The sequence below is a fragment of the Homo sapiens genome, chromosome 16 (genome assembly GCF_000001405.40).
Source record: "Homo sapiens chromosome 16, GRCh38.p14 Primary Assembly".
Classification (NCBI taxonomy): domain Eukaryota; kingdom Metazoa; phylum Chordata; class Mammalia; order Primates; family Hominidae; genus Homo; species Homo sapiens.
In genome coordinates this window covers 8870879-8882091 of record NC_000016.10, presented here as the reverse complement: position 1 = coordinate 8882091, position 11213 = coordinate 8870879, and the positions used below count along the sequence as shown (strand labels likewise).

General features: G+C 50.8%; 2 annotated features.

Annotated features, from left to right (window-relative positions):
* Nucleotides 1652-1941: an enhancer, noted in NCBI's record as "active region_10357". NCBI's record gives its function as "activates an Ori minimal core promoter by ATAC-STARR-seq in GM12878 lymphoblastoid cells {active_cell/tissue: GM12878}" and the evidence as "EXISTENCE:reporter gene assay evidence [ECO:0000049][PMID:35858748]".
* Nucleotides 4051-4166: a silencer, noted in NCBI's record as "fragment chr16:8971783-8971898 (GRCh37/hg19 assembly coordinates)". NCBI's record gives its function as "represses an EF-1alpha promoter that drives an FKBP-Casp9 reporter gene in an ReSE screen in K562 erythroleukemia cells {active_cell/tissue: K562}" and the evidence as "EXISTENCE:reporter gene assay evidence [ECO:0000049][PMID:32094911]".

The window sequence follows — 11213 nt, the reverse complement described above, 5'->3', positions numbered from 1 at the left end:
GAATTTATCCTGAGGGAGCTAACCAGATGTATGTGAAGATCTAATTGTAGCATGTTCATGTCCTCTTAGGAATGTGGCTGGGCACGGTGGCTCACGCCTGTAATCCCAGCACTTTGGGAGGCCGAGGCAGGCAGATCACTTGAGCTCAGGAGTTTGAGACCAGCCAGGCCAACATGGTGAAACCCTGTCTCTACTAAAAATACAAAAATTAGCCGGGCGTGGTGGCACGTGTCTGTAATCCCAGCTACTCAGGAGGCTAAGGCAGAAGAATCACTTGAACCTGGAGGCAGAGTTTGCAGTGAGCCCAGATCGCGCCACTGCACTCCAGCCTGGGCAAGAAGAGTGAAACTCCATCTAAAAAAAGAAAGAAGAAATGTAGGTATGTATAGGTTCATATGTCCACACATATTCATGGTGTAAATGTGTGTGTGTTTACCTGCTCAAAAGTCCAGTCTGCCTCCTGCTTATTCAGCTTTATGAGCTTGGGCAAGGTCCCACTTTTTTCTTTTTGCCTTGAGACAGGGTCTTGCTCTGTGGCCCAGGCCAGAGTGCAGTGGCGTAATCATAGCTCACTGTACCCTCAAATTCCTGGGCTCAAGTCTTCCTCCTCACCTTAGCCTCTGGAGTAGCTGGGACTACAGGTGCTTACCACCATGCCTGGCTAATTTTTTCTTATTTTTAGTAGAGATGGGGTCTCACTATATTGCCCAGGTTGGTCTTGAACTCCTGGCCTCATGTGATCCTCTTGCCTCGGCCTCCCAAAGTGCTGGGATCGCAGGTGTGAGCCACCATGCCTGGCCCCCACCTTTCTTTAAACCTCCATCCCCTCCCTGCCTCATCTGTAAAATAGGGGTAATAAGAAGCTCATAGGGTTGTTGTGAAATCAGATGACATAACCCAGGTGAGGGGTCTGCTCTTGATGTGGTCCATGAAGCCAGCATTCTTTTTTTTTGCCTGCTTCATTTTCCCTTCATAATGAAGCCAGCATTATTATTGTAAAATGCAAATGGCTTCAATGGCTCAGAAGAGGAACTCCCAATTATAGACCTCATCCTCTGCGCCAATGGCAGGCCAAGGGCTTTACACAAGGATACAGCCAGGAAGGGCAAAGTCAGGATTAGATGCAGCTGTGGGACACCAATCTGATGCTACCCCAGATCCTTTTTTTTTTTTGAGGCGGAGTTTTGCTCTTGTTGCCCAGGCTGGAGCGCAATGGCATGATCTCGGCTCGTGGCAACCTCTGCTTCCCGGGTTCAAGCAATTCTCCTCCCTCAGCCTCCCAAGTAGCTGGGATTACAGGCATGTGTCACCACACTGGGCCCATTTTGTATTTTTAGTAGAGATGGGGTTTCTCCATGTTGGTCAGGCTGGTCTCAAACTCCCAACCTCAGGTGATCTGCCCGCCTCAGCCTCTCAAAGTGCTGGGATTACAGGCGTGAGCCACTGCTCCAGGCCTGGGCTTCCTGTACAGACTTGAAGTTACACATTTTGGGAAGGGTTAGGGACCGCCTCCTTCCCTGGGGATTTTGAAGCGATGGTCCCCCTAACACACGTCGGGACCCCAGGCGTGATGTCTGAACTGGGGAAGCCTTGAGGGTGAATGGATGAGGGAGCTGATGGGGGGATGCTCTCTGGCGCTGCCCTTCCCGGCCATCGCCACCAGGGGGCAGCACCGGGCTTCCATGAGTCCGCCTCAATTTCTCCCTCTTCAGGTTCTGTGCCCCAAACCCTGCCATGGGGCGAGGACTCCTCTCTCCCACCCCATAACCCACAGGCCCGGCCGGAAAAGGTGGCAAAGCCAGCCGAGGTCACACAGCACGGCTGCGGGAGAGCTGAACTAGACCCCAGGCCCTCAGCACCCAGGGCACAGTGCCCCACCAGGAAGCTGCATGGGTCAGGGCTTCTGGAAGACTGGATTTTTGTGTTTTTTTTTAAACCTCTTCATCCCCCAGGCCGGGCGCGGTGTCTCACGCTTGTAATCCCAGCACTTTGGAAGGCCGAGGCGGGCGGATCACGAGGTCAGGAGATCGAGACCATCCTGGCTAACCAGGTGAAACCCCGTCTCTACTAAAAAATAGAAAAAATTAGCCGGGCGTGGTGGCGGGCGCCTGTAGTCCCAGCTACTCGGGAGGCTGAGCCAGGAGAATGGCGTGAACCCGGGAGGCGGAGCTTGCAGTGAGCCGAGATCGCGCCACTGCACTCCAGCCTGGGCGACAGAGCGAGACTCCGTCTCAATAAAAAAACAAAACAAAACAAAAAAAAAACACCTCTTCATCCTCCAAATAAGGCCTGGCACAGAGGAGGATGAAGTTGGTCAAACTGTGGGCTCTCTCCGAGCTGTATGACTCTGAACAGGTGTCTTCTCCTCGGTGAGCCTCAGTTTCCTCCCCTGCAAAAATAATACCTTCTGCTGAGAGTGTTATGAGCTGGGCACGGTGGCTCACCCCTGTAATCCCAGCACTTTGGGAGGTCGAGGCAGACAGATCACCTGAGGTCAGGAGTTCGAGACCAGCCTGGCCAACATGGCGAAACCCTGTCTCTACAAAAATACAAAGATCACCTGGGTGTGGTGGTGCACAGCTGTAATCCCAGCTACTTGGGAGGCTGAGGCAGGAGAAGGAGGAGGTTGCAGTGAGCTGAGATTGCACTCTGGCCTGGGCAACAGAGCAAAACTCAGTCTCAAAGAAAAAAGAAAAGAACAAGAAAAAAAGATTGCTTAAATGACTGAAGAATGAAAGAAATCCATGGGTCGGGCGCAGTGGCTCAGCCTTGTAATCCAACACTTTGGGAGGCCCAGGCATGAAGATCACTTGAGGTCAGGAGTTCGAGATCAGCCTGATCAACATGGTGAAACCCCATTTCTACTAAAAGTACAAAAATTAGCCGGGTGTGGTGGCATGCACCTGTAATCCCATCTACTTGGGAGGCTGAGGCAGGAGAATCGCTTAAACCCAGGAGGCGGAGACTGCAGTGAGCCGAGATTGCACCACTCCACTCCAGCCTGGGTGACAGTGAGACTCTGTCTCAAAAAAAAAAAAAAAAAGAAAGTTATCCACGTGAAGCACTTACCTCCATACTTGGCACATGGAAAGCTTGCAGTAAGTTGGCAATTAATATTAACATATTAACAAGAACCATGACAATCAACTCAATTAGCAGAGTCACAAAGGCCAGGGCAGGGGGCAGGCCACCCAGGAATGCAATGAGCCTGGAGTTTTGGCAGCTGGGGACCTGGGGAGTCCCGTGTGGGGCCTTTCCTGCTATGTGATTTAGGGCACCGGACTCCCGTCTCTGGGCTACGCTTTCTTTTGTGCAATGAGGAAGACTCTGTGGCCAGGGCTGTTTATGGGAAAAGGAGATGGGACATTTTTTCCTTCCTACTCATCTTCTTTTCCCAGAAGGGCCCAGCTTGAGCAGAGGCGATGAGATAATAAGGAAGAAGGAATTGGAGGAATGAGCTGTACCTGTAATTATTGCACAATCCGTGTGGGGGGTTGGGTTACAGAGGGGCCTGGATTACAGAGGGGCCTGGAGATGGGGCAGTGGCTTGTTCCTGCCTGGGGAGGGGCTGGCTGCCCCCAGAACCCTGCCTTCCTCACTCTGGCTCAGCAGTGGGGTCCCATATATCTCATCTGCATGTGGACCCTGGAGTCCTAGGGTGGGGACTTGCTGGGTCATACTGGGGCATCCCCTAACCTCTCTGGGTTGAATTTCCGGTTCTGCTAACCTCCCAGACTGCCTTACCTGCCAGCTTGTGGTGGGGAGTGGATGGGTCGGGCAGGATGGGGGTGAATGAGGTATAGGGGCTGCTGTAGGCACCACCCTCCCTACTCCAGCCACATTGCTTACTCAGGGAGAGAAAAGTAGGGGGAGGAATTCTCGTTCCCAGGAACTGATGGAGGACCCCCAGCTGAAGGGAAGAGGGTGTTTCAGGGCCATTTCTTCCCCAGCAGCTGCCGTCTGTCCATCTATCCATCCCTGCGTCCCGTTCCCTCAGAGCCTGGAGGTCTGCCTGGTGGAGGAGGAAGGGCTATCTCCAGATTGAGAAAGCCTCAGGGTGTGGATGTGATGGGAGAATGTGGTTGTGTGTGCTTCCACCTGCGTGTATTTGTGTGGGAGATGTGTGTGTCGGGTGTGTGGAGTGTCTGTGTGTCAAGCAGCATTTTTTTTTTCTTTTTTAGAAACAGTCTTGTTCTTGTCACCCAGACTGGAGTGCAGTGGGGCGATCTCAGCTCACTGCAACCGCCACCTCCCAGGTTCAAGCGATTCTCCTGCCTCAGCCTCCTGAGTAGCTGGGACTACAGCCATGCACCATCACGCCTGGCTAAATTTGTGTATTTTGGTAGAGATGGGGTTTCACCATGTTGGCCAGGCTGGTCTCGAACGCCTAACCTCAAGTGATCCTCCTATCTTGGCCTCCCAATATGCTGGAATTACAGGCGTGAGCCACTGTGCCCGGCCCGCCCTCATTCTTTAACGTGCATTTATTGAGCACCTAATATATGCCAGGCACACAAAACTGAGCAAGGCAGATGAGGTGCTTACTTACCCCAAGAAGCCCACATTTTAGTGAAGGAAACAGATGCCAGACACATTCTTCTTTTTTTTTTTTTTCTTGAGATGGAGTCTTGCTCTGTCACCCAGGCTGGAGTGCAGTGGCGCAATCTCGGCAAGACTCCGTCTTGGAAAAAAAAAAAAAAAAGAAAGTGCCAAGATCCACTTGCTGTTCTGACAGGACCCCCGAGTCTACTGTGCAGAGGAACAGTGGCGGGGATTGGGCCAAAGACAGGAGGTGACTGTCCAGAAGGAAGTGGCCCTAACAGAGAGCATGGACACTGTACAGGGGAAGCAAGTGTGCCCAGAGCCTGAGGTCCCAGCCCCCTCTTCTCTGAGACCCCTGGCAGAAGGATGCTTCCTGGGGAGGGGGCTTCATCTACACGGCTTGTGGGGGGCGCAGTGGGGCAGCACAGGGGCCCAGGTTCCAGTCCTAGCCTGGCCCGCAATTGCTGCATGGTTTGGGGGGAGCTGATCCGAGCCTCATTTCCCCATCTGTAGAATGGGACAATAACTCTCCTGCCCACGTTCCCCGCAGCACCATTCACAACAGCCAAGATTAAGAAGCAATCTAAGGCTGGGCGTCGTGGCTCACACCTGTAATCCCAGCACTTTGGGAGGCTGAGGTGGGTGGGTCACCTGAGGTCAGGAGTTCGAGACCAGCCTGGCCAACATGGTGAACCCTCATCTCTACTAAAAATACAAAAATTAGCCGGGCGTGGTGGCAGATGCCTGTAATCCCAGCTACTTGGGAGGCTGAGGCAGGAGAATCGCTTCAACTTGGGAGGCGGAGGTTGCAGTGAGCCGAGATCCTGCCACTGCACTCCAGCCTGGACAACAAGAGTGAAACTCTGTCTCAAAAACAAACAAACAAACAAACAAAAAGTAATAAATTTAAATGTCATTCATCAGTGGATGAATGGGTAGAGAAAATGCAGTACCTAAACATGATGGAATATTATTCAGCCATAGAAGAATGAGATCCTTGGCCAGGTGCGGTGGCTCACACCTGCAATCCCAGCACTTTGGGAGGACAAGGCAGGCAGATCACCTGAGGTAAGGAGTTTGAGACCAGCTTGGCCAACGTGGTGAAACCCCATCTCTACTAAAAATACAAAAATTAGTGGGAGAATCACTTGAACCAGGGAGGTGGAGGGTATAGTGAGCTGCGACTGCGCCACTGCACTCCAGCTTGGGCGGCAGGGTGAGACTCTGTATCAAACAAAAACAAAAATAACATATACCCCACAAATATACAGAACTATTATGTATTTATAATAATCAAAATTTAAAAATTTAAAAAAAATTATCTGTACCATGCTTTAACATGTGCCTGGCACTCCACAAGGGCCTGGAACTTTGAGGCTATTGTCATTACCGGGGCCCCACCCAGACTTCAGCAAGAAGTGTTTTGAAAATCAAGTAACAGCATTAATCATTGCTTACCATGTGCTAGGCTGCCCACTAAGCATTCTATACACGCTCTTCCACTTCCACAACACAACAGCTTTACTATCAAGGTGGGTGCTGACATTGTCTCCATTTTACAGATGAAGAAACGGAGGTGCGGAGCAGAGAAGCGACCTGGTCAAGGAACCCAGTGGCAGAGTCAGACCCCCACCTCCTCACCTGTCCCCAGAGCCTGTGCTCTTAGCCCAGCACAGCTGAATGGGATCCCTCCTCATCCAACTCACCCAAATACCTTTCAGAAGATGTAAAGTGGCTTCTCAAAAGGATCAAAGAGGCCAGGCACGGTGGCTCACACCTGTAATCCCAGCACTCTGGGAAGCCGAGGCGGGTGGATCACCTGGGGTTAGGGGTTTGAGGCCAACCTGACCAACATGGTGAAACCTCGTGTCTACTAAAAATACGAAAATTAGCTGGGCGTGGCGGCAGGCACCTGTAATCCCAACTGCCTGGAAGACTAAGGCAGAATTCCTTGAACCTGGGAGGCAGAGGTTGCAGTGAGCTGAGATTGTGCCATTGCACTCTAGCCTGGGCGATACAGTGAGACTCCGCCTCAAAAAAAAAAAAAAAATCAGATCAAAGAATAAGATAGAATCAGGAGGCTGGGCACGGTGGCTGCTGCCTGTAATTCTAGCACTTTGGGAAGCCAAGGCAGGAGGATTGCTTGAGCCCAGGAGTTCCAGACCAGCCTGGGCAATAATGTGAGACCCTGTTTCTACAAATAATAAAAATACAAATAATTAGCCAGGTGTGGTGGTGCATGCCTGTGGTCCCAGCTACTTGGGAGGCTGAGCGGGAGGACTGCTTAAACCTGGAGGTAGAGGCTGCAGTGAGCGGTGATCACGCCACTGCACTCCAGCCTGGGCAACAAAGCAAGACCCTATCTCCAAAAAAAAAAAGAAAAAAAAAGGCCGGGCGCGGTGGCTCACGCCTGTAATCCCAACACTTTGGGAGGCTGAGGTGGGTGGATCATGAGGTCAGGAGATCGAGACCATCCTGGCAAACATCGTGAAACCCCGTCTCTACTAAAAATACAAAAAATTAGCCAGGCTTGGTGGCGGGTGCCTGTAGTTCCAGCTCCTCGGGGGGCTGAGGCAGGAGAATGGTGTGAACCCGGGAGGTGGAGCTTGCAGTGAGCTGAGATCGCAACACTGCACTCCAGCCTGGGCAACAGAGTGAGACTCCGTCTCAAAAAAAAAATAAAATAAAAAAGAAAGAAAGAAACAGGAAACGGTGCAGAATATATGTCTGACCTTGTCAGCAGGGTGAGCAGGGTGGGGTGAATACCCCAGAAGCCGCAAAGGGAAAGAGGGTCAGCAGGTTTGACCACGTGGAATCAGAGAGAGGCAGTGCCCCCCAGCCCCAGCCCCATCCCACCCATTGCCTATGCCTGCTCCCCACCTTCTGCAACAGGAAGAGCTCCAGCCAAGCCTGGGCCTCTCGGGTGTTTTCTGGCATAAACTCTGAGCTTTACTTCTCATCCTACCAGCCACCAGATCCCCGTTCTCTAAGAAACATTTGCAGTGGGCCCTTTGCCATCCCGGGATGAAATCCATAGAAATTTATGTTTCTTAACACACATGTTAAGAGAAAGTTCAGGCTGGGCACAGTACCTCATGCCTGTAATCCCAGCACTTTGGGAGGCCAAGACGGGTGGATCACTTGAGGTCAGGAGTTTGAGACCAGCCTGGCCAACATGGTGAAACCCCCTCTCTACTAAAAATACAAAAATTAGCCAGGCGTGGTGGCATGTGCCTGTAATCCCAGCTATTCGGAAGGGAGATCACTTGAACCCCAGGAGGTGAAGTTTGCAGTGAGCTGAGATTGTGCCACTGCACTCCAGCTTGGGCAACAGAGTGAGACTTCGTCTCAAAAAAAAAATTCAAGGCCGGGCACAGTGGCTCACACCTGGAATCCCAGCACTTTGGGAGGAGGCCAGGGTGGGCAGATCACTTGAGCTCAAGAGTTCCAGTCCAGCCTGGCCAACATGGTGAAACCCTCCTGTCTGTACTAAAAACACAAAAATTAGCCCGGTGTGGTGGCGGGCACCTGTAATCCCAGCTACACGGGAGGCTGAGGCAGGAGAACCGCTTGAACCCAGGAGGTGGAGGTTGCAGTGAGCTGAGATCGCACCACTGCACTCCAGCCTGTGTGACAACAGCAAGACTCCATCTCCGGGAAAAAAAAAAAAAAGTTCAATGTAATGCCCCAATGGTAACATAAAAGAAAAATAAAAAGCAATTTATAGTAAAATCTTTACACACTACACATGAATACATATTTCACAACTTCGTATGGATTCTACTGCCCCTAGCTGTGATAAATGCCACTCCAACCCTAGTGTTGACCCAAGAGAAATGAAAACTTGTCCCTACAAAGACTCGTACACGAGGCCGGGCGCGGTGGCTCAGGCCTGTAATCCCAGCACTTTTGGGAGGCAGAGAGGCAGGTGGATTGCTTGAGCTCAGGAGTTCGAGACCAGCATGGGCAACATAGAAAACCCGGTTTCTACTAAAAATAATTGAAAAAAATTAGCCAGGCTTGGTGTTGCGCACCTGTGGTCCCAGCTACTGGGAAGGCTGAGGTGGGAGGATGGCTTGAGCCTAGGAGGTGGAGGTTGCAATGAGCCAAGGTCGCACCACTGCACTCCAGCCTGGGTGACAGAATGAGACTCCATGTCAACAACAACAGCAACAACAACAAAAGACTATACACTTTAAATGTGTGCATTTAATTGGATGTCAGTTATATCTCAATAAAGCTGTTGGAAAACAGGATTTTTCAGGGAGTGAAAGAACTCTGTATGACACTGTAATGGGAGATCCATGCCATTATACATTTGTTCAAACAAATAGAACGTACAGCTCCAGGAGTGACCCGCATTTAAACCACGGATTCTGGGCGATGACGTGTCAGTGTAGGTTCACCCACTGTAACAAATGTACCACTCGGGCGTGTGATGTGGATAGCGAGGGGGTGCTGTGCGTGTGTGCTGGTCAGGAGTGTTTGGAAAATCCCTGTATTTTCTGCTCAGCATTTTTTTTTTTTTTTAGATGGAGTTTCGCTCTTGTTGCCCAGGCTGGTGCGCAATGGTGCGATCTCAACTCACGGCAACCTCCACCTCCCGGTTGATTCTCCTGCCTCAGCCTCCCGTGTAGCTGGGATTACAGGCAAGCACCACCATGCCCAGCTAATTTTGTAGTTTGTCAGAGACTGGGTTTCTCCATGTTGCTCAGGCTGGTGTCAAACTCCCGACCTCAGGTGATCCGCCTGCCTCAGCCTCCCAAAGTGCTGGGATTACAGGTGTGAGCCACCACGCCTGGTCAGTTTTTTTGTTTTGTTTTGTTTTGTTTTGAGACGGGATTTCTCACTGTATTGCCAGACTGGAGTGCAGTGGTGCAATCATGGCTCATTGCAGCCTCGACTTACTGGGCTCAATGTATCCTCCTGCCTCAGCCTCCCAAGTAGTTGGGACCAGAGGCATGTGCCACCACATCCAGCTATTTTTTTTTTTTTTGAGATGGAGACTCACTCTGGTGCCCAGGCTGGAGTGCAGTGGCGCGATCTCGGTTCACTGCAACCTCTGCCTCCTGGGTTCAAGCAATTCTGCAGCCTCAGGTTCCTGAGTAGCTGGGATTACAGGCGCTACCACCACGCCCAGCTAATTTTTGTTATTTTAGTAAAGACAGGGTTCCACCATGCTGGCCAGGCTGGTCTCAAATCCTGACCTCTGGTGATCCTCCCAAAGTGCCGGGATTACAGGTGTGAGCCACTAGGCCCAGCCCTTTCTGCTCAATTTTGCTGTAAACCTAAACTGCCCTAAAAAGCAAAGTCCGTGTTTGTTTGTTTGTTTACAGACAGGGCCTCCCTCTGTTGCCCAGGAGTGCAGTGGCATGATCATAGCTCACTGTAACTTCTGACACCTGCGCTCACATGATGTGCCTGCCTCAGACTCCCAAAGTGTTGGGATTATAGGCATGAGCCACTGTGCCCAGCCCTTTTTCTTTTTTCTTTCTTTCTCTCTCTCTCACTCCTCCCTCCCTCCCTTTCTTTCTTCCTCTTTTTTTAATTTTAGAAATAAAATATGCTATGTTGCCCAGGCTTGTCTTGAACTCCTGGCTTCTAGGCATCCTCCTGTCTTGGGCTCCCAAGTAGCTGGGATTATGGGCATGAGCCACAGCACCTGGCCGTGGATGAATTTTCATAAAGTGAACCCACCCAGGTACCCAGACTGAGGGACAGAAGTTTACCAGATCCTAGAATCCCACCTTGTGCCCCTCCTGGTCATGGCCTCCCCCCACCCCCACCCCAGTGTCCCCGCTTGTTTATTTGTTTATTTATTTATTTATTGAGGTGGAGTCTGGCTCTGTCGCCCAGGCTGGACTGCAGTGGCACAATCTCGGCTCACTGCAACTTCCACTTCTCAGGTTCAAGCAATTTTCATGCCTCAGCCTCCCGAGTAGCTGGGATAACAGGTGTGCACCATCATACCGGGATAAGTTTTGTATTTTTAGTAGAGACAGGGTTTCACCATGTTGGCTGGGCTGGTTGTGAACTCCTGAGCTCAAGTGATCCGCCCTCCCAGGCCTCCCAAAGTACTGGGGTTACAGGCATGAGCCACTGTGCCTGGCCTTGACTTTTTAAAAACAGCTTAACTGAGTCATAATTCACACACCATACAGTTCACCCATTGAAAGCACACAATGCAATGATTTTTAGTATATCCACGGACTTGTGCAACTATCGCCACCATCACTTTCAGCACATTTTCATCATCTCAAAAAGAAACCCCTGTACCTTTTAAGTATCAACCGTCTAGCCCGCACCCCCACCCCCAGCCTCTGGCAACCCTTAATCTACTTCCTGTTTCTAGAGATTTGCCCATTCAGAACATTTCATACAGATGGAATCACACAAAGTGCGGCCTTTGTGTGGCTTCTTTCTCTTAGCATATTTTCAAGGTTCCTCTATGTTGTAGCTTGCATCAAGATTTCATTCCTGTTGATGAGTGAATAGTTGTCTACTGTATAGATACACAACATTTTGTTTATCCTTTCATCACTTGATGGACATCTGAGCTGTTTCTCCCTTTTGGCTACTATGAGTAATACTGCTATAAATCTTACTCTGTCACCCAGGCTGGAGTGCAGCAGTGCAGTCACGGATCACAGCAGCCTCGATCTCCTGGGCTC